Raw genomic sequence first — 25,102 nt, forward strand, 5'->3', positions numbered from 1 at the left:
AACAAATCTATACAAAGTTTTTCATAGTCAAGAATAATTTAAAAGACAAAATTACCAAAATATGAATGTGCTTATGATAAATAAGTGCTAGTAAACCCAGAATAATTACCAAAGCTAAAACTACACCATTAAAAATGATATAAGCATTTTAAATAACTTGATTGTTTCTATTTTTAGTAGTTAATGGTTTGTATAGATACTTTAATCTCTTCTGTTCATGTTGTTTTTTCAGAAAATAAGTACTTAATCCTAATCAATGTGAGATAAATTAAGGAACGCAGGTTATATTTCTTCTTTTAATGAAGGGCAAACTCCTCCAGATGTAAGCATAGCATCTATTTGCAGTACTGCCACATAAGAAGTAAAAATAGCTTGGATTATTTTGGTATCAAGTAGGATTTGTAGATGAAGAATATTATCTAAATTGGATTTTCCATAGCTATGGCAGTTAATATTCTAACTGCTGCAGAAGTACCAAGAGAAATGCAAAGAATCAGAATCTTAGCAGTCATTCATCCATTCGACACCTACTAACTGCAAGGCACACTGCTGGATAATATGCAGTATGGAAAGTGAGGACATACACAACTTAAAAAATGGAAAGTCTCATAATAGGAGCAAAAATTATTGTTAGAAGAGTGCTTATGAGAAGTACAGATATCACAACATCATTCCAGATTCACAGACTCTATGTTCTATTATTCAATTAAAAATGTTTTTAGCTTTATTGGCTTAAACAATAGCGACAGAGAACAAGTTATTTCAGGACCTATATAATAAAAAGATAAGTTTTCTGAGTTCAAAAAACATGGGAAAAGATTATGATTAAAATATATTCCTGCAACCACATGGAACGATCATATTTCATTGTGTCCCATGTCTGAAATGATTCCAGGTCTCCATATGAAATTGTTAAGTTTTAAAAGCACTATGTGTAACCTCTAATTTTTAAATTTTTGAAGGCAGGATAAAATTGTTCACCCAGTTAGGGAACTGGTTTACTACAATTGGTAATGATTGAATCATTCTTGTCCACCCTAATATTTCACGAGATTTTCTTTCTAGCACAGCTCTTCCTATTCTCTCTTATCAGTGCTTCCGGGGAGATTTGTCAAGGCCTTTATTAGTGTGTGGAAGAGACGCTAGTGTTCCTTGTTTCACAGATATCTATTTCCTAGTACACACTGACTACTGATTTTGATAAAATGATAGGCTTTTATACAAACATAGAATTCCTTTTCTAAACACTTGTGCACCCTTAGGAAAATTTTTTTCTTATGATAATTGGATAAAATAACATAACATAAAGCTGGTCACCCTCTAATTTATTAACATAAACATTCTTAAATTCTACTTCTCAGAACTAATGTAAAAGTCACTTCCTTTCTGGCTGCTCTAGAGGTTAAAAAAAATTATGGCACTAATAGAGAAGTGAGGAAAGTTAAAATTAAAAAAAAGAAAAATTACTTCTTGAGAGTGGACTATATATTATATTTTTACTTATTTGCTTTTTTCTTTTATAAAACTCATTTCCTATCCTAGAACAATTCATTTTCAAGAGAAGAAAGTGCACGTATAAAACAAAATTTCATTCCGATGTCCCCAACTTAAAACTTTATTCCTGTTATTCCCATGTTAAAGGCACAAAATTTTCTGTAAAAACAGATAAATTCTGTTTTCCATTTTATTTTCATACATTCTATTTGAAACACAGAAAATCCCCTAGTAGTAGTTTAGAATTTATGCAGATTCTAGTTAATCTTATGTTTCAAGTCTATGAAGCATATTCTAAAGCAATAATCATAACACTTAAAATACACTTGCATAACATTTTTGTTGAAGTGGGTATTAGGTATCATATGCACTGCAACATTCCTGGCAAGGGAGTGCATGTAATACTTTAAAATGAAACTTCCCTTTTTCACTTCAGCTCCTTTTCTTGATTAAGAAGCTGTAAATGTATCTTGCCTCTTTTCACAAATGAAAATGTGTTCAAACGTAATTAATCTACCCTATTAACTCTACAAAACATCTGCTATATTTGTTAAACACTTCAAACTTCTGTTCTGAACCAGTTAATTCTAAGTAATTTCTCAGTTAAATATTTACATGGGCTTCCATGATGATAAGCTCTAGCTTGTCTTAAATAATCAGCAGATTGTCCAGAGAGAGCTGTGTGAAATGTAACACATTGTAATAGCTATCCACTGGAACTTAAAATGGTTAGCTGGCTTGGACTATTTTTTGCTTATTTTTATCTTAGCCAAAAGAGGTAACAGCCTTATGAATTCCATTCTTTGTCAATATTTTTAATGTCCAGAATTGTGTTAAACGGAAAATGAATACCTATGTAGACCTATGCAGATGTTTACCTTGTGAAAATGCTAAATCCAATCTCAAATGTCTCTTTCAGAAAAGTGATAAATCTGTATGTGTGCAAAATTTTAGAAATAACTCAATTTACAGTTATTTTTATAGCAGACTAAGTAAATTAAAAAGTAGAAAACATTGATAGGCATTTTTCATCAGCAAATTAAATTGAAGAAGAAAAAAAATCCACAGGCTATGCAAATGTGTGGTGTGTACAAAGATAATTAAGACTATGATTCTCTAACTGCACAAATTATATAAATCTGTAAAATATCAGGTTTTGGTCAAAAATTGGAATAAGTTCCACAACAGAGATGCTGTTACAATGGTAAATGATTAATTTGTAAATGAACTATAAGGCAATTTTTCTCATAGACATCAGAGAATAGAATGATCACTTCAGACTGAGGAAGACAGACAAGATTGAAAGTTCTCCAATGTGGTAATTAAGTCCAAGTTTTGAAAATAAAAATGATTATATAAAGAGCAGATGCCAGTTCTCCAACACCAACACTCAGTATTGTTCTAACTAGGTGTTTTCTTCTTTACAATATGCCAAATGTTTATTGAGTTCCTTCTATAAGTATTGTAGAGGTTAGAAAAAAATGAGCCTGTATCCTCTACAGCAGGGGTCCCCAACCCCCGGGAAAAGGACCAGTACCAGTTCGCAGCCTGTTAGGAACCGGACCACATAGCAGGAGGTGAGTGGTGGGCAAGTGAGCAAGCTTCATCTGTATCTACAGCCACTCCCCATTGCTCACGTTACTGCCTGAGCTCCACCTCCTGTCAGATCAGTGGCTGCATTAGATTCTCATAAGAGCATGAACCCTATTGTGAACTGTGCACATGAGGGATCTAGGTTGCGTGCTGCTTATGAGAATCTACTGCCTGATGATCTGTCACTGTCTCCCATCACCCCTAGAAGGGACCGTCTAGTTGCAGGAAAACAAGCTCAGGACTCTCACTGATTCCACATTACGGTGAGTGTATAATTATTTCATTATATATTACAGTGTAATAATAATAGAAATAAAGTGCACAAAAAAATATAATGTGCTTGAATCATCCTGAAACCATGCCCCCATCAGGGTTCATGGAAAAATTGTCTTCCACAAAACTTGTCCTTGGTGCTGAAAAGGTTGGGGACCGATGCTCTAGAGCTCACGGTCAACTAAAAGGATAAATGAAGCACACACATAATGACCTTTACAAAACCAGAATAAGGAAGAACTGTGGGAGGGATTCTGAGACAAATGCTGAGCTCTATCCAAGTTCAATTTACATAAACTGGAGGTTAAGTATGTCTGTAATTTTCATAATAAGTGATCGATAAATCCACTGTTTGACTTTACTAAACGGGAGGAACAGTGTCCTGGATCATTATAAATAATCCTCCCAGAATTTTAATTTGTTAGTTTGGGAATAGATATTATTTTTCTACAGTTGATTGATCTGTGTTTTACTAATGATAATATTAAAATTATTTTTGCTTTGTCAATTTCAACTAATGTTCAATACTCTTCTCAAAATGTTCTGAAGATTAGGAGAGCATGGCTAGAATTACAAATTGGTCTTGGATCATTCAAAGAGTGAATGATTCATCAAGGATTAAAAAAGAATTTCCTCAACTTCTAATCAAACCCATAGCTGGGTCCTAGACTTAGCAAAAGTGTGGAGGAGGAGATCAGAGTCATGGTAACATCTAGGAGGCCCGTAAGTGATTTATGTATGTGAGTTTGTACCATATCTTAGTACTTGAGTCTCGCATACAAAAGATTATCATAAATATTTTTTGCGTTTGTTAAATACATTCCAAATCAAATATTATATCCTTGCATTAGGTAGACTTTGCTACATAATTTCTTTAAATAGTAAAGGGAGTAGATTTTTGATTATATGTGTCTCAGAATTAAGTGAACTCCCTGATGTGTATGTTTTAGTAACTCATGTTTAAAAACACTGAATGAGCTGTCAGCATTTGGATGAATATCAAAAATGTTATATATTAGTTTGACTATTCATGAAATTATAATAGTTTTCCTAAGGATAAGAGAGAAGAGTTTAATCTAGAGCCAAGATCGTGTCAGGCTTATAAAAAAATGACACAACCTCCCTGCAATTATATTGTAATTAATACTTGTTATATTTGAATTTCAAAATTTGTTTTTCTTATAAACACTAGGAATTTGCCATTTTAAAGTTGGCCTAATTATCCAACATTACTTGATTATATATCATTTGGCAGGTTTTGTTGTTTTTTTGTTTTTAACTACAAACAGAACTGATTAGTTTTTTTCCCTTTTTTTTCCTACCTAAATCAATAAAACATAGACTCCATATGCCCCTGTAACATTAAATTGCTCCCAAAGTAGATAAAAGAAATGAGAGTGATAAATACATAAATTTCATTCAACTGTTGTGGAGAAGGAGTAACAAAGATTTGGGGGAACAGTGAGAACTGATGACATATGCAGAATTTTTTGTACTAACACTTTAAAAAAATTAGTTACAATAATTTATACTGAACTCTGAGAATATTAATCAAATGAAAGCCATCTGATTTAAAAATTAAAATACGTATATTACTTTTTTATTCAAAATAAAATTAGATGGTGAAATTAAGCATGTATGACATTCATGAAAATTTAGTAATAAAATAATTTACAGACAGGCAAATGCTGAGAGATTTTGTCACCACCAGGCCTGCCCTACAAGAGCTCCTGAAGGAAGCACTAAACATGGAAAGGAACAACTGGTAACGGCCACTGCAAAAACATGCCAAATTGTAAAGACCATCAAGTCTAGGAAGAAACTGCATCAACTAACGAGCAAAATAACCAGCTAACATCATAATGACAGGATCAAATTCACACGTAACAATATTAACCTTAAATGTAAATGGCCTAAATGCTCCAATTAAAAGACACAGACTGGCAAATTGGATAAAGAGTCAAGACCCATCAGTGTGCTGTATTCAGGAAACCTATCTCATCTGCAGAGACACACATAGGCTCAAAATAAAGGGATGGAGGAAGATCTACCAAGCAAATGGAAAACAAAAAAAGGCAGGGGTTGCAATCCTAGTCTCTGATAAAACAGACTTTAAACCAACAAAGATCAAAAGAGACAAAGAAGGCCATTACATAATGGTAAAGGGATCAATTCAACAAGAAGAGCTAACTATCCTAAATATATATGCACCCAATACAGGAGCACCCAGATTCATAAAGCAAGTCCTTAGAGACCTACAAAGAGCCTTAGACTCCCATACAGTAATAATGGGAGACTTTAACACCCCACTGTCAACATTAGACAGATGAATGAGACAGAAAGTTAACAAGGATATCCAGAAATTGAATTCAGCTCTGCACCAAGCAGACCTAATACACATCTACAGAACTCTCCACCCCAAATCAACAGAATATACATTTTTTTCAGCACCACACTGCACCTATTCCAAAATTGACCACATAGTTGGAAGTAAAGCACTCCTCAGCAAATGTAAAAGAACAGAAATCACAACAAACTGTCTCTCAGACCACAGTGCAATCAAACTAGAACTCAGGATTAAGAAACTCACTCAAAACCGCTCAACTACATGGAAACTGAACAACCTGCTCCTGAATGACTGCTGGGTACATAATGAAATGAAGACAGAAATAAAGATGTTCTTTGAAACCAACGAGAACAAAGACACAACATACCAGAATCTCTGGGACACATTTAAAGCAGTGTGTAGAGGGAAATTTATAGCACTAAATGCCCACAAGAGAAAGCAGGAAAGATCTAAAATTGACACCCCAACATCGCAATTAAAAGAACTAGAGAAGCAAGAGCAAACACATTCAAAAGCTAGCAGAAGGCAAGAAATAACTAAGATCAGAGCAGAACTGAAGGAGATAGAGACACAAAAAACCCTTCAAAAAATTAATGAATCCAGGAGCTGGTTTTTTGAAAAGATCAACAGAATTGATAGACCGCTAGCAAGACTAATAAAGAAGAGAGAAGAATCAAATAGATGCAATAAAAAATGATAAAGGGGATATCACCACTGATCCCACAGAAATACAAACTACCATAAGAGAATACTATAAACACCTCTATGGAAATAAACTAGAAAATCTAGAAGAAATGGATAAACTCCTCGACACATACACCCTCCCAAGACTAAACCAGGAAGAAGTTGAATCTCTTAATAGACCAATAATAGGCTCTGAAATTGAGGCAATAATTAATAGCTTACCAACCAAAAAGAGTCCAGGACCAGATGGATTCACAGCCGAATTCTACCAGAGGTACAAGGAGGAGCTGGTACCATTCCTTCTGAAACTACTCCAATCAATAGAAAAAGAGAGAATCCTCCCTAACTCATTTTATGAGGACAGCATCATCCTGATACCAAAGCCTGGCAGAGACACAACAAAAAAAGAGAATTTTAGACCAATATCCCAGATGAACATCAATGCCAAAATCCTCAATAAAGTACTGGAAAACCGAATCCAGCAGCACATCAAAAAGCTTATCCACCATGATCAAGTGGGCTTCATCCCTGGGATGCAAGGCTGGTTTAACACACACAAATCATATAAACAGAACCAAAGACAAAAACCACATGATTATCTCAACAGATGCAGAAAAGGCCTTTGACAAAATTCAACAGCCCTTCATGCTAAAAACTCTCAATAAATTAGGTATTGATGGGACGTATCTCAAAATAATAAGAGCTATTTATGACAAACCCACAGCCAATATCATACTGGATGGGCAAAAACTGGAAGCATTCCCTTTGAAAACTGGCACAAGACAGGGATGCCCTCCTTCACCACTCCTATTCAACATAGTGTTGGAAGTTCTGGCCAGGGCAATCAGGCAGGAGAAGGAAATAAAGGGTATTCAATTAGGAAAAGAGGAAGTCAAATTGTCCCTGTTTGCAGATGACATGATTGTATATCTAGAAAACCCCATCGTCTCAGCCCAAAATCTCCTTAAGTTGATAAGCAACTTCAGCAAAGTCTCAGGATACAAAATGTGCAAAAATCACAAGCATTCTTATACACCAATAACAAACAAACAGAGAGCCAAATCATGAGTGAACTCCCATTCACAATTGCTTCAAACAGAATAAAATACCTAGGAATCCAACTTACAAGGGATGTGAAGGACCTCTTCAAGGAGAACTACAAACCACTGCTCAACGAAATAAAAGAGGACACAAACAAATGGGAGAACATTCAATGCTCATGGAGAGGAAGAATCAATATCATGAAAATGGCCATACTGCCCAAGGTAATTTATAGATTCAATGCAATCTCCATCAAGCTACCAATGAGTTTCTTCACAGAATTGGAAAAAACTACTTTAAAGTTCGTATGGAACCAAAAAAGAGCCAGCATTGCCAAGTCAATCCTAAGCCAAAAGAACAAAGCTGGAGGCATCATGCTACCTAACTTCAGACTCTACTACAAGGCTACAGTAACCAAAACAGCATGATACTGGTACCAAAACAGAGATATAGACCAACGGAACAGAACAGAGCCCTCAGAAATAATACCACACATCTACAACTATCTGATCTTTGACAAACCTGACAAAAACAAGAAATGGGGAAAGGATTCCCTATTTAACAAATGGTGCTGGGAAAACGGGCTAGCCGTATGTAGAAAGCTGAAACTGGGTCCCTTCCTTACACCTTACATAAAAATTAATTCAAGATGGATTAAAGACTTAAATGTTAGACCTAAAACCATAAAAACCCTAGAAGAAAACCTAGGCAATACCATTCAGGATATAGGCATGGGCAAGGACTTCATGTCTAAAACACCAAAAGCAATGGCAACAAAAGCCAAAATTGACAAATGGGATCTAATTAAACTAAAGAGCTTCTGCACAGCAAAAGAAACTGCCATCAGAGTGAACAGGCAACCTACAGAATGGGAGAAAATTTTTGCAGTCTACTTATCTGACAAAGGGCTAATATCCAGAATCTACAAAGAACTCAAACAAATTTACAAGAAAAAAACAAACAACCCCATCAAAAAGTGGGCAAAGGGTATGTACAGACACTTCTCAAAAGAAGATATTTATGCAGCCAACAGACACATGAAAAAATGCTCATCATCACTGGCCATCAGAGAAATGCAAATCAAAACCACAATGAGATATTATCTCACACCAGTTAGAATGGCAATCATTAAAAAGTCAGGTGCTGGAGAGGATGTGGAGAAATAGGAACACTTTTACACTGTTGGTGGGACTGTAAACTAGTTCAACCATTGTGGAAGACAATGCAGCGATTCCTCAGGGATCTAGAACTAGAAATACCATTTGACCCAGCCATACCATTACTGGGTATATACCCAAAGGAATATAATTCATGCTGCTATAAAGACACATGCACACGTATGTTTATTGCAGCACTGCTCACAATAGCAAAGACTTGGAACCAACCCAAATGTCCAACAGTGATAGACTGGATTAAGAAAATGTGGCACATATACACCATGGAATACTATGCAGCCATAAAAAAGGATGAGTTCATGTCCTTTGTAGGGATATGGATGAAGCTGGAAACCATCATTCTCAGCAAACTATCACAAGGACAAAAAAACAAACACCACATGTTCTCACTCATAGGTGGGAATTGAGCAATGAGAACACATGGACACAGGAAGGGGAACATCACACCTGGGTCCTGTTGTGGGGTGGGGGGAGTGGGGAGGGATAGCATTGGGAGATATACCTAATGTAAATAATGAGTTAATGGGTGCAGCACACCAACATGGCACATGTATACATATGTAACAAACCTGCACGTTGTGCACATGTACCCTAGAACTTAAAGTATAATAAAACTATATATATATAAAAGAAAATTTAGTTTATATGAAAAAAATTAAAAATGAATATATACATAATAAGTAACTATGGATCATGATAAGTACATCTGGCCTTTTAGTTTCAACGTAGCCATCACTTTTTAGAAAAAGGTCATATTATAAAAATGAATGTTAATTATTTTTAAATTAGATAACAAAAGAATTTCTTCTGGAATAAGGGGAATAAATTTACATTTATTTGCATTTGTATTATCAGATTTTTCATTTATTTCAAACCATTTAAGGCATTTAATAGATGATGGGTGAATTATAAATATTTGGAAAACTTTTTGAAAATTACTGCCTTTATCCAAAAACTTTTATTGGAGTGGATGAGTTCCCCATGTGAATTGTCATTTGGCCAGTAACAGGCACATACCGTGATGAATAAAATATAGATTCTGTTATAGATTAGAGCCTGGTGAGAGTAACAAATCATTACATGAATAATCACTTAAATGAATTAGTGGTAAGTACTTGAGAGAAAAAGTGCAAGGCACTAGGAGACTGAAACAAGGCATTGTCTCCAAGTGGTACATCAGGGAAGATCAAGCCTGGTTTTCTTAAGATCAGTTTGGCTGTGATGTGAATGGATGGAGGAATGTGTAGCTTCAACTAGGAAGCTCTTACAGATGAGCAAGAATATGGGAGCAGCAGGAGTGGAGAGAAATGGATGAATCCAAACGTATCTTGTAGATAAAGCCAACAAGATTTTGTAACTGTATGTGAGAGAGAAGTTTAAGAGAGTTGAATGTGGAGAATGAGTTCTAGATTTCTGGCATGAGCATGAAGAGAGTGTGGTATGGATTTATTGATTTGGGGCATGGTGGAAGAGGATCCAGTTCTGGAGGGAGGATCCTGAGTTCAGCATTTGATGGGGTAAACTGTGGATGCCTGTGAGGTAGCAGTGGTTCCATCAAGCACGTCGTGGGTCTGAATGCAGCTCAGAGATAAACTGGAGTTGTAGATCTGGGAATTGCTGGTCTAGAGAATCCAAAGCCCACAGATGTGTGAGATCAATGTGAGAGAATGTGGACTGAGAAGAAAATGAGACAAAAATCTCCCGCATTTAATGGTTGATTAGGGAAGAAAGAAGCAGCAGGAAAGAAGTAGTCATAACTGCTGAAGTTTTTTTTGAATGGCAATATCATCATTTTTAATTTCATGTGGAGTAAGAATTTCTGTCTAAAATAAGAATCAGGAGACTTGACTTTCAGATTAATACCTGGGATTTCCTAGGACTTTGTTATGATCTGAAAAAAAAAGAATGTTTATTTTCCCTACCACTTTATATTATTACAAGAAAGCAGTAAATAATATTTTTAATATTAAAAGTTCAATGTTATGAGTAGGCATGTTTGAAGCCAACACCATAATCATGCATTTCCTTAGAATATACTTTAAAAGCTACTCTCAACCAAAAATATAATTTTATTTATAGAGTTTAAATGTATAAAGAGGTATCTTTTTCTGCTTGCAAATATTGTTACCACTTATTTATGGTGGTTTGTTGAAACATGGTTCCAATCATATGAGATTCTTCACTGGCGGTGAACATTTGGTCTCACACCTGGTGTGGGTCTGCCTTTTTTTCTTTCTGGAGTTAGCTACAAAGAAGCCAGTCAAAGAAGGGCAATTCATCATTATTAATATATTATATAGTTCAACCTTGAAAGAGCTCAAATTACTTTAAAAGTTTGTTTTAATCAACAAAATAATTATTAATTTTCACAACATTCTTTGTGAGGCAGGTGTACTTGAAACAGTGTATTAACATGTGTCTCTTTTTCCTCATAGGGTTCCCTGGGGATACAAGGCCCCCAAGGTCCACCTGGAAAAGAGGGTCAGAGGGTAAGTAAAGCTGGAACAACTGGTGGGCATTACTAACTTAGGGGATACTTATTTGGGAACACTAATGAAAATGAAACCGAAATAGAGCAAGCAGATGGGCATATGGAGAGTATCAATTATCCAAAGGCTGAAATTTGAGATTCGAGATTTTGACAGAGGTTTTGCAATTCAGAAAATTCTATATTTTTCAAGATTGGCAGCACAAGTGTAGAGATATTGTTTGGATAAAATGAATTAGCCCTAATTTGATCTACACTACTTTGGTCATACTTTTAGTTTTTGAATTAAGTTGATGAGTATCTTTGTGGAGGTCTAGCCTATTTATTAATTCCATAAAGGTTGTGGATATTAACTACATTCTTTATCCAAATTAAATTATTGACTTCACTGGCTTTTCATAACTCTCCTTTCATTGCCATTTATTGCCTTTAACTGAGACAAAATAGTAAGCAAATAAATCATCGTTGGAATTGGTAGTAGAGCAATAACCTCCTATTTCTAGTGCAGTTCAATTTCATCATTCCACAGTAAAACGAAGCCCTGCAGTGTTATGACAACTGGTCAGCTTCATATGAGCAGTGGGGACCCCATTCTTGTGTTTTACTGTTATTATTATCATTTTCAAACCATTTTAAAGTCTCAAAAAATCTTGTGTGTTCTTTCTCATGTGCTTATTTATGGCAGTCTTTGTACTAAATAGTACAGGTACTGTCAACTTCTGTTCCCTTGTTGATGAGCATTCCATGACTTAGAGTTTAGATGATGTGCCTAAACTTGAGCTTCTGACTGTAGTCCTACGTTCTCTTTTATTATTAACCCCAAATATGTTTCTTAGACATTCTCATTTATTATTCCCAGTTCTGCCTTCTGTAAAATAAGTCTCTTTCCTCAACTACAAATATTTGAGGGTCAGTGGTGTATTGTACTAAGGTTTACCTTTTATCAAGTTAATAAAATTCCAATTCTCTTAACTTGTTCTCTTATCGTATGGATTCTGGACTCTCCAACATGCCAATAATCTTTGTCAGAAAACACTCATTGGCTTTCCAGAGTTGTCGAGAATGAGACTGGATACATGTGGTCTTACTTAGGGCAGAGTAAAATGAGGCAAGTACGCCCCATACCACAGACAACATGCTACTATTATGGCCTAAGATTGAGCCAATGCTCCTTTGTCTGGTATTGTACTTTTGACTTGTACTACATGTGGTCAATTAAATGCTCCTCCCTTTTTATTTTAATGAAAACTGCTAAGTCAGGTCTTCACCCAGCCCGTTGTTGTACAGTTACCTTTTTGAATCACAGAGTAGGAACTGATCCTTGTTGTTAAATTTCATCTTTATTGATTTTAATCCCTAATAGCATTCTATTCTTTGGGGGCTTTTTGCTTTTAAAAAATGATTTGAATCCTGTTTTCCAGTGAAATATCCCTCAGCCTTATGCTACTTTAAAATTTGATAAGCCTACCTTCTGTCTTCATTTAAATCGTTAATAAATCCTGAACAGAACAGGGCCTGACAACCCTGTGTAACACCAGCCTAGGCTACCATCTTTTCCACCATTGATGTCCTTAAAGTGTGACAATCAAATCATGTACAAATGTATTTGAACCCTACCACCTTCCCACCCACATTTCTTGATTTGGCTTGTAAGATAATTATGACAGACTTGTTAGATACTGGGTGAACTGAAAAAATATTTAAATGAGGCTTTTTAGAAATAATAATGCTTCAAATTAAAATTGTACCCTATCAAAGCTTGCATTTCATAAGAAAGTAGATTAAAGAATAAATTAAACATGTATTTTCCATGATAATAAAGAAGGAAATCAGTTAAATTGTAAAGTTCAACCACTATTTTATGTAAATTTACTCCATTTATAAATGCGTATAGTCCAGATAATTTTATATTACTTTTATCTTCTATCAAGAGTAACATAATGTCAGAAACTAAAAAATGTAATAGAACTTATAGACACTTTTAGGCATAGTTCGTCATTATTGCTACTGCTCTTTCCCAAATGCCCTATTTATCAAAAGAAGTAGCTAGAGCAGGTATTATTGACATTATCCACATTTACAAATAATTATATGCATTTGGATTATATCCATATATGCTCAGTGATTTATTCTACTTTATAAGCTACTTGAATGGGAAACAAATGAATTTTAAAAATGAGCGTTCTTACATATTTACATTTAGGTCCAACTGAGTGCCACCATTTCTTCTCAGCTCAATAGTTAAGGAGTACTCAGCTCTTTCAGACATATAAATGTATTTGTACATGTATGCCTGTGTATATACATATGTGTGTATACATACAGATGCACATTCTGAAAGCTAAGACCAATAATTTTTCTATTTCACTAAAGTTTGCAGTAGAAAACAATAGTGAGAAAAATCTAGGAATTTAAAATCATTTTTATTTACCCAATGTTAAAAACCTCTTGTATTTTAATTGAGTGGTTGACCAAGAAGGTATTGACTATCATTAAGGCTATTTAAATGAAACATAAAATATGTGAAGTTTTATGTACTTTATTCCTAGACATAATGACTTTAATTAAAGCAGAACATTTAATTTTAAACAAATCATTAACTTGTTGGTTTTCATCAATGATTAAATACGTAGTAGCTACTACTCTACCAATATCTCACAATTATGGTGAGTTTCAAACATGGGTGTCACATTTAAACATGCTTTGAAAAATATCAAACATTATAGAAACATGTTAATATTGCTATTATTATTATGAAAGACATAGGATTCTGATCAATGAATTCTTTTTCTTTTTCTCTAACTCTTTGTGTAGTTTCCTATAAGCATAATAGCAACACTATTTTTGCAAGTACCACGCCAAGGTTCTGTTTGAAATTTTGATTAGTTGATTTTATTTTTTTAATTATCATTTAAGCTGCTAAATCTTAGTTTATAAAGTGTTCATTTAATAAAATGTAGAAGTAATGTGCTTCTTACACTTAAAAGCTATTCTTAACAATGTTCTGTGACAATATGTATCTGAAATTTATGGGCTGTTTTATTTCTCAACTTCCTGATTTTCATTTTTTGGATCTTTTATATGCCATTATTTATTTATTTACTTTGTCTTCTTGAAGCCCTGCAAGCAAAATATTTGGTTGACATATTTTTTAGTCTTACATCCTTTATGGATTCACACAGTTTTTAGAATTCAATGAATGTTGAATATTGATCCTAAGCTACAGATGAGAATGTTTCAGATCACGATGAGGGAGAACAGAATGGCATTGGGGGTTGGGGGCCTTCCTGGAAGTTAAGAGGGGGTTTAATCCATCATGAGGCAGAAAAAGGCCGTACAGAACCAAGAAGTCAACAGAAGAGCGGTTCTAGATTCTTGAAGGGTTCAGCAGAATTAAAATTTGGAACAAAGTAAGTGGAGGGATGCTGGATAAGAGAAGTGGCTGGAATTGGTGCCAGGGGAGAGAAGTTCGGTTGAGTAGTGAGGAGGGCACTGGAAACAAAAATCTCAAGAAAATGTGTAAGGAAATTAGGGCATGAGTTGTGAGGTAGGAGAGGCAAACAATGGAGATTGTGGTGGAGGGAAAAGGACAGGAACTGGATGGAAACCCAGAGAAGTATCTTTGTGAAAAGTGGAATATTTCAGGTAGCAGATCATGTTCATGGATATTAATGAGAAACATTGCAAAAGAACTGGCATTATAAAAATTCCATTTAAGATGTAGGTTCCTTGCAGGATTTCTTAGTATTCCTAACAAACAGACTCTCCCCAAAAATAATGAAAACAATAATTTTTATGTAACCTTGAATTTTCATTTTATAGTCACATTAAATGCACATCTGAATAATCTCAAGGTTAGCGTGAAGCTACCCTGGTCTTTTTAAAAGAAGTTCCTCTAGGTCTCTGAAAAAAGACATTTACTGGTGAATCAACTAGTTACTGCCGCAAACAGAAGTTTGTGTGGTTGGACCAAGATGACACCTCACTCTTGCACTCTGTTGCTGGATCCTAATTTTGATCCTGAACAGAAACTTTATGTTTTAAATTCCCTGTAACTTACCCCTCTATCCTGCCCTGTCTTGCTCTCAATTTATCCTCTCTGCCTGTGCCTGTCCTTTTTCCCCTCTCTGGGCAACCATCCTCTTGATTGCCTCCTTGCAACATTTTTGTGCAGGTTTTACTTTCCCTTGAAGTGCTTGCTCCAAGCTGGCTTTGAAGCTGTGTCTGGAGTCAGGATTCCTTGCATTCTAAACAGCACAGAGAACATCAACCTACCTACCCCTGCCCCCGTCAAGATGTGTTTCTTTGCACCAGCCCACACTTGATGGCAAAGGGGCTGGGTCACATTTCCTCCATGAGCTGGGAGCCTACAAAAGTACAGGAGGGCAGGGCAAGCAACATGTCCACTTTCATCTTATGGTGCAAGCAACTTGGAATTTAGCATACAGGTTGCACCACAGACTTTGGGGCCAGATTGCCTGAATTTTATTTATTTATTTATTTATTTATTTATTTATTTATTTATTATTGAGAGAGAGTTTTGCTCTTGTTGCCCAGGCTGCAGTGCAGTGGTGCAGTCTTGGCTCACTACAACCTCCACCTCCCCAGTTCAAGTGATTCTCCTGCCTCACCCTCCCAAGTAGCTGGGATTACAGGCATGCACCACCATGCTTGGTGAATTTTTGTATTTTTAGTAGAGATGGGGTTTCACCATGTTGGTCAGGCTGGTCTCAAACTCCTGACCTCAGGTGATCCACGCTCCTTGGCCTACCAAAGTTCTGGGATTACAGGCCTGAGCCACAGCGCCTGGCCCAGATTGCCTGAATTTAAATCCCAGCTTTACTGCTTATGAGCTTTGTGATCTTGTGTGAATTCCTCAGCCACTCTGCACCTCACATGCCTCTTTTAGAAAATGGAGATGCTAATAACGCCTACCCCACAGGGCTGTGATGAGGAGTAATGCCATGTCGGTGTTAGCCTAGTGATCTCAAGATGTTTATAGAAGGGAATGTAGGTATACAGCTTCAGAATATTAGTACTTGATTAAGGAGAATGTCTAATTGATCAAGAAAAAATATTTAAGATAAAATGACTTTTTTCACTACTACTCTGTTGAATCTATTTTATTTAAATTTTACCTGAATCTTACTTTACCTAGATGTCCATGCCCATTTTCTAATGCCCCAGAAGCTTGAGGCCCAGTGTTGATCTAACTTGATAATAAAATTAAGTATGTAAAAATGTCTGCAAGGTAGAGTAGACTATTGCCTTTTCCTTAAAGAAAGATATGAAGATTGGTGTCATCACTGTGGAGTAGCTGAGACCTCAAAATTTGTTTGATGAACAAATTGTGCTGATCATGTGTAAATTTACTGGGATTTTCATGTAAAATTTACACTTGGTTTTTCTTTTGGTTTGATTCTGAACTGGTTGATATACTTTACCTAAGACAGCACAAGTAATGAATTATGTTATTAATAAGTACTGGGGTATATTGATCTCATTAGGTAAAAGGACATCAAAGTCATTGCTTCTATGAAATCAACACATACAACAGGACTCACTTAAGCAAAATTTTCCTTAAGCTTATTTGTTTTTACAGGGCTTGGGATATTTTTCAAGTGAAATTGTGCCCTCATAGTCTAGCCATGCTCTATGAAAACTTTGTAGAACACAGCAAGACAGTAATGCAGGTCAGACCTGCCTCACAGTAAAGTAAAAAAATAATAATAATAGTGTTTCATTGGGCGCGGTGGCTCATGTCTGTAATCCCAGCACTTTGGAAGGCCAAGACGGGCGGATCACTTGAGATCAGAAGTTCAAGACCAGCCTGGCCAACATGGTGAAACCCTGTCTCTACTAAAAATACAAAAATTAGCTGGGCATGGTGGTGGGTGCCAGTAATCTCAGCTACTCGGGAGACTGAGGCAGGAGAATCGCTTGAACCCAGGAGGTGGAAGTTGCAGTGAGCCGAGATTGTGCCACTATACTCCAGCCTGGGTGACAGAGCAAGACTCCACCTCAAAAAAAAAAAAAAAAAAAGAGAGAGAAAGAGTATTTCTTCTTACTTTAAGATAGCTTATTCCAAGTTACCAACTTCACAGCTACAAAGTGATCTCATTGTTCCAATGAAATGATTTCAGGGTCTGGTAGAAACCACTAACAATTGTCTGCAGTTGCACATCCTTACACAGGCTTGAATTTTAGAGAGGAGTCTTATAGAGAAAAGAATGGATAATTATGAATTTATAGGAAGTAATTTTGTTAGTTTCACATTATAACAGGTGATATGATTGTCTTCTTATCTTTATGTGTCAAAACTGACAATGACCTTTAAAATGCACGATGAGTGTTTCATAATTCTGCTCTCACTAAAACGATGACTGGTGTCCTTCCACCAGGAATTTGTATTACTAGCAAGAAAAAGTCAAAAATTACTTTAAATAATAGTTTTAACTCTGGTCGTAGGTAGAAAAAAAGCATCTTTTTTGCTTGGATTCATCTATAAATATAAACGTATACCTTAAAAATAACACGTTAAATGTTCTGTATTCTACAACTATTGGTTCATGCTTATTACTTGTTAGAAAATTCTTGGCATACAGATAACATCGTATTTTATTTACTTGCTATGACATTTCTTCAGAATGTCTCCATGAGGATTATCTTGGGAGTTTGCAAGAGATACCATCCTTAATTCTGTCTGACATTTCTAGATGAATAACAGGGAAATTGGGTACCCTATTCAGGTCCAAGCAACAAGTGCAGAGCTTTCTCCAACACATTGTTTGAATTTACAAAACCAAATATGAAACTCGGTGGATAAAAATAAGCAAATCTGCATTTATCCCTGCATCTCTGTTTGCAGAGCTCCATGGTGGACTTTGGCCGCTTGGTGTCTCCTAAAATTGGATCAAATATAGTTACTGAAGCAATGTAGTAAGACAGGAAAAAGGGGGAAAGGCTAATATATGTTCATGTCAAACAAATGCCTTCAAGGGCGTAGTTGTGCAGCGAGGATAGTCCTTTACTTTTGCCTCATATTCTCTTACTGGTGGGAAAGATAAATCAAGGAAAAAGATGTTGGAAAACAACTTCTAGCACAGGCTAATTAAAATCAGATGAACAAGAGATGTAGCCCAGACTTTGTGATCACAGGCCATCCCTTAGATAAGGTTAAACAGCACAGCTAGTTACTGACAGTGTGCCTGTGTCTCCTTGTGGTAAATTTCACTCTAACTAGTGGTCTCTGCAGTGCACTTGAGATAGAAGAGACAAAACGCCCTGGAAAGGCTGTCAATGAGAAAAAAAAAAATTGTAAGCAATGATTTTGTTCCAATAATACTTATATCAATAGTAAAGCAACAGTGAGCTGAGGTCCTTACATTCACTTAAATGAAGAGCTGAATGACATTATTTGTATTGTAACAAAATAACATAATAAGTTTTCTCTTTTATATGGATTAGTAAAGGAAAAATGTTTTGTATTTTCAAATAGGACCCTGAGTCTGAATGGTTTATTTATTTATGTGAATAGACCCAAGAGCTGTTCTCTGATGTGGAAGAGGCACATCATCTAATGGGGACTCCTTCAAACTGGAGAGATTCAGCCTCTGAGCCGAGTGGCTGAGAGCTTCAGAAAGAAGCCTGGAGAGGTGAGGGTGGACCCATTTCAGGAACATCAAATCATCACATTTTCTAGCTAAAGGGGTACTATAGTATCATTCCAGCCCACCAAATAAGAAAACAGAGACCCAGAAAACATTGGCAATTCTCCAAGGCTGCAGGGCTATTTATTCTAACTGTTCTGCATAATATACACCCATTGTCTATTTTGTGGTATCACACTGAAACCCAGATTTGCATGTTTTAAAATAGGGATATTGAGAATTTAACCAAATCACTAACTTTTAAAAAAGTTACTTAAAAATCACTAACTTAATTTTTCTAATTAAAGCCACACACTAGAAGGGACAAATATAGGTAGGTACAGCTGATCCCTTTATGGTCTCCACACATTGTGATGAGCACACATTCTGTCCCTATAACCTGCACCAACATTTGGGAACCAGCAATGCCTGGCCAGTGAGGGACCAGGGGGAGAGTCAGAACTGCTCTTTTTTTCTCAGGAGAGCAATTGGATCAATTTGTGACTTCAGCCAAATCACTCAAGACTCTAGTCTAAATTTATCTGTTTTATCATAACTTAGCCCTCAGGTATATTATGGGATTAAGCCGGAAGCACTTTAAATGCACTCTGGTGACAGGTGTTCTATGAAGGAGTCTTATAAATATTACCTACTTAGCCACAGAAACACTTAAAGAGAATGGAAAAGGAGAAGGCACATTCTGCCAAAGTGGCGATATGCTAATACACCTGCATCAGGATCTTTATTCAGAACATTACACTGAACACGTTAGTAACTATTTCATATGTTTACCATTGGAAATGTCAAGTAGAAAGTTATTTATCCATTTGGGATGGAGCGAATATATGTGTGGATGGCTGCCAAAACCAAGAATTAATCACAAGTTATTAATCAATTTGGAAAATATAAACAGATAAATTTTCAGAAATGCAAAACATTCGGAGCATGAAACATTTTTATGGCCTAATGACTTTGAAAGCCAGCAAATTATGTTTCCAATAAATAAGCCCTCAACTTTGTAAAACTCTATAGTATTTTGAGTTACCTTAGGTAATGGCACATAATTCTCAAAGCAACTTTAATTTTATAGCACTTTTGTTTTTCTTATACATTATATTTTAATTATCAAGAGAGAAGCTATTGCAAAGTAAATGTGATGCCATAATTCTTTAAAAAGTTGAAAATTTATCTTTTATATGATGTACGTAGATTGTACTGTGTTTTTATTTCTAAATTTCTTGGAATGGTAGTATTGAGAGTCGCTCTTGAATTCTTCAGAAATACCTTAGAAACTACTTTTTCTCATTTTCCTCAAAACCAGTAAACTTTTACTTGGACTTTTTTTGTGTGAATTATTGTAGATTAATTTGATATTTATTTGATATCTCTAATATGTCCAACACAAACATATACATATATGTATGTACATGTATGTAAGCATTATCCATTGTGTTTTCTAAATTCACAACAGTATACAACGTATGTTGTGACCACTGTATTATGGTGTCATTTTTGGCTCTCAAATCACTAGACAATGCACTTCTTGAACACTAGAAAGGACTGTTGTTTGTATTTCTTATGTGAGAGATGTTAACAATGTGTCTATGCAACCGTGAGAAAGATGACTGCAGAGTATCTACAAGTATATTTAATACCTTGAATGTGCATAAAATTCAATAATGTAAACACAATTTATGTGCATTCAATATTTTTATTCATTAATAATGCCACTTTAAGAAAATCAGTCTTAGAACATACAATGAAAAGAGCAAGATATCATTGGAAAAAATCTACACCTTTTGTTCTGCCATATTGAAGGCCGTTGCTTCACACTCTCCATTGGCCATGTGTTTTATGCAGTCTTCCAAATCTTTTGCAGAAACATTTCCATAGCTTTGTGCATTTATTCAATCATGTTTATAGTTTATTTGTCTTCGAAAGTATTTGAGGGTCTTATAAATGCAATCAAATAAAAATCTCTACACTGAGAGAAAAAGACAAGAGCTAATGAATAGAGAGTAGGAAAGAGAAGAAAATAAGCAAAAACACCTATACTGAGTGAGGCAACTGCATTTGAACAAAAAGCCTCTCTGAAAGATCTGAGGGCCTATTTATTTACTCAAGAAACATTTGAGTGCCTGTTTTGTGTGACATACCATGGAAGTTGGCTTAAGTCAGGCTTCCCTAAAAGCAGAGCCTAAGATGGGATTCTTGTATAAGCGATTTACAGAAGAAACCTGTAACAGAGTGAGGGAAGCAGACAAGAGAAGAGAAGAATGCAGGCAAAATGTGGTTTCAGGAGCATCAAGTCTCTCCCTGATCTCACAAGACACTCTGGAGCACGACAGAATTTCTCCTGCCTTGAAGCAAGGGGCGAGGCTTGCCCTCACAGGGTGGGGAGATGGGCAGTAACTTCCCAGTATCTCCAGGCCAGGTAGATCCTGTAGACTAAGGTAACCCTCCAGGAATGGGTGTAGATAGAAGCTTGTAGCAGCCAACACCCATGGCAACTGAGCCCACCCTAGCCTGGCACCAACTGCACCTGTACAGAGGTGAAATAAAACACAATCCTTAACATCACTGACACAGAATCCTTGATGGCTTTTGAGTGAAAGTGAAGACATGATTTTAAAAAGAACTTTGATAATATTAACCTCACAGGCCGGGTTCAGTGGCTCACACCTGTAATCCCAGCACTTTGGGAGGCCGAGGCGGGCAGGTAACTTGAGGTCAGGAGTTCGATACCAGCCTGGCCAACATGGTGAAACTCTGTCTCTACTAAAAATACAAAAATTAGCTGGGCATGGTGGTGTGCACCTCTAATCTCAGCTATGTGGGAGGCTGAGGCAGGAGAATCTCTTAATCCCAGGAGACAGAGGCTTCAGTGAGCCGAGCTCACATCACTGCACTCCAGTGTGGGCGACAAAGGAGACTCTATCTCAAAGAAAAGAAAACTATTCTTGTAGTCTAATCAATAAGTAATAAAGGGCATGATTATAAAAACCAGTGAAATGGCTGATGGGAGTGACATCAAGGAGATTGAATGAACACAGAACAGGCAAAGGACTTAAGTTTCAGAAGTGATTGCTGACGTATCAAGTCTGAAATGATAGTGCCTTTAAATGAAGTAGAAAACACTTGAAGAAAACATTCTTTTAGAAGAGATGAGTCAGTTTGAAGCCTACAGCATTAGGGCTACGGAAAGAATCTGCAATCAAAAGCCCCTTAAGATGTGAGCTGAGTAGAAGAACCAAGTTTACTGTTAGCAAGTCATCAGTTTAAGGGTGATAACTAAAGCCATCACAATGGGGTGAGGGGGCAGTGTGCAAGGGAGAAACTAGAAAGAAAAGAACTGAAAGTAGAACCTTGAAATTTGGGTAAACCTATATATAGGAATGGGGTGGAGAGATGAACTAGAAAGTTTAAAGTATAGAAAAGTGGGAGAATAAGAAGAAAGTTTTGAAAGGGAGGAGACTGCGAACTGATAGGAAATTCTTCAGAGGTATCGGAGGATGGAGGTTGAGAAAAAGCCATTGGTGATCTTGAAGGAAGCTGGTTTCTTAGCATGTCTGTGTTGCACAGAGGCAGACATGACACTGCACGGATCTCAAGAGTGTAGTAGATATTGAGAAAGTCAGGGGATTATGAACTATTATTCTCAAAAGCTGAGGTGTAAAGAGAGATGGCATAAGACTACATTGGGAGAGGTCAAGGAAAATCTTTGTTTCTTTTTTTCTCATAAGTGTATATATATATATGTGAATACTCAACTACGATTACAAACTGAAGCAAAGAAGTCTGTAAATAGGGAGAAACTGAAGATGCAAGCACAACAAACAATAATAAATTATCCAGACATACCGGAAGAGGCCAAAAGGGAAGGCACAGGTATAAACATGGGTCAGCATCTTTACCTTGAGGACACAGGAAAAGGAAAGGAGGGGCATGGACACTCACTTTGAGGACAAAGTAGAAATAAAGGCTTATTGCATATTCACATTGCATATGCATATTCTTCTCATATAGAAAGAATTTTTTAGTGTAGATATGATTTAGTAAAACATTTGCTGTTTATAAGAGGCATTAATCACAAGATTGTTTTCAGGCCAATAGATACACCTACTACTTTCTTCCCTCATGAACAGCGAGCCCAACTTAGGTAAAAGTAGAGAGAAATATAGAAGTAGAGGAAGTCAAACTAAACGATGGTGAAAGGGGCAGGCCTTGGGATAAGAAAAAGTCTATTATTGCAATTTCAGTTTAATTTCAGTTTTGCTAGGTTTTTCAAGCTGCTGGGGAAAATGTGGGCATTTCATTTTATCCCTTTTATCTAAGACTCCTTTCCTTTGTAAATTACCAGTGGTATCTTACAAGAGCATTTCTGTTATCAGACATTTGTCTGAATTCATTTATTTTGTTTCACAAATTCATTTTGTCAGAACACAGTTCTAACTCCTTGGAAAACTTTGTTTTATTGGTATAATATAAATGAGGTCAGGGTAAAATATTGTCAAAATTAAATTGTTCTTATCTTTATTGCTTTTGGCAACTTTCACGTTTTATGTCTCTGTGCACATTCTGTAAACTGTCATTTATTTTTTCTCAAATGGTATAAAATTTCTGAAGCATGCTAATTATGTATCGTTTCCAAGCGAGGAAATGCCAAGGGACTGGCTTACCATATGAAGAGTCCTGCCTGTGTTTTATCAGTAAGTCCTTGTGGTTATGGTGATACATTTTTGTATACTCTACTGGTAACTTACTATGGGCTTAAAAACCTTTTTCACTGGGAGCTTATGCAAGTGAATGTGGTGTGTTTCTTTGCAGCTGTTGCCATAGAAATAAAGACCTTTTCAAAGTAAAATGAGGATGGCATAAGAATTACAAATTCAAAAGAAGTTACGCTTCTAATTTAATATCAAAAATGGTGCACTATTCCCTTTCTTTTTAATTTTGTCAAAATTGCATGACCTGAGTGCGTCTAATATACTTTTATTAGATAATTTCTAGTATCAGAAAAGCTAAAGCCGAAAAAATGGAATAGATGAATTCCCCACAGCATTCAGTAGGATGGGCTTTAATCTTTAATCTTTTATTCTTAAGACTTATAATATTTCTAATTGTCTTCTGCATGCTCTACCTCCATACTACTTTCTATCTTATTTTCCATTTAAATCTAATTACCTATAATGGGCTTTCTTAAAAACAAACCATTTATTTTGCTTTCTTTCTTTACCACATCATTTTCAACAACAAGGCACATTTTCTAGCATTAACACACACAGAAGGATGAACAAATCTATAAAACTTTCTCAGATTTTATTACTGTTCATGTTCAGACTTTGAAAGCCTTGTAGACTTCTTTTGAAAATGAAAAAAAAACCTGAAGCAGTTACACAAATTAAAGTTTATACCAGAATGTAAATCAACACACAGCTCCCTTCATTGAGAAATTCTTGCTAAAAAGAAATGTCAGCAGACCTAAACAATAGGCTTAATGACATGGCAAAAATTGTGAATTTGTAAAGATTAATATGTTAATTTGGAGATTATTTTATTTTGAGATAATGTGGAAAATGACCATGCATGCTGAGGTATGATGGTTATTGAGGAGAAAAATTTTATCAAAAATATTAGGATTATAGAATTAATTCATTGTTTCTGCAAGTTAAGAAACCAGTTTATTCTTACTTTTTTAAAAATAAAATTTGAATAGTTTTATAGACTTGCTTATTTGTCTGTTATCATCAGTATTTTAAATAATGTCAATATTTCTATGCAAAGAAAGAATGTAATGTGTTTTTTAATGGTAGGAAAAAATAAAAGAGTGAACACTGAAGTTTCTAGAGATTGTTACAATATTATTCTCATAGCTTTACAACAGTTATCAAAGAAACAAGTGATGTTCTTGATATTCTACATCAGTGAAAAGTTATCTTCAAATATTTAACAAGTTTGATAAAACATTTCAAATTTTATTTTCCACCAAAAGAAGATGCATATATAGGAATTCTAGAATGTTGAATTTATTTATTTCATTGAGAGGTTGTTTAACTTTAATAAATAATTTATAGGGTGATTTGCTTTAACTGACTACTGATGAAGAATTGAAGATTAATTTTCAAAATACAGCATCACTTGCTCCATTTTTAAATAAAAGTTGTAAATAATATTCTGAGAGTCTAAAATTACTTCAAAATTTCTTCTTCCATTTCCTTCAAAATATCTTTGTTAAAATGATTTCTATCTTAATGTCATTAAAACAAAATAATGAAGCACTTTTTTAATTAATTAATTAATTTCTGAGACAGAGTCTCACTCTGTCTTCCCCAGGCTGGAGTGCAGTGGTGCGATCTTG

General features: G+C 35.5%; 1 protein-coding gene across 8 annotated transcripts in view; it reads left to right on the forward strand.

The window, feature by feature from the left end:
- Positions 1-25,102, forward strand: part of COL19A1 (collagen type XIX alpha 1 chain) — a 345,913-nt gene that overhangs the window by 190,825 nt on the left and 129,986 nt on the right. For all 8 annotated transcript variants that reach the window (NM_001858.6, XM_047418188.1, XM_011535437.3 and 5 more), the window contains one exon: positions 11,043-11,096. In NM_001858.6, coding sequence (NP_001849.2) covers positions 11,043-11,096 — 54 coding nt within the window. The remainder of the gene's footprint in view (positions 1-11,042; positions 11,097-25,102) is intronic.

Source organism: Homo sapiens, chromosome 6, assembly GCF_000001405.40.
Source record: "Homo sapiens chromosome 6, GRCh38.p14 Primary Assembly".
Taxonomy (NCBI): Eukaryota; Metazoa; Chordata; class Mammalia; order Primates; family Hominidae; genus Homo; species Homo sapiens.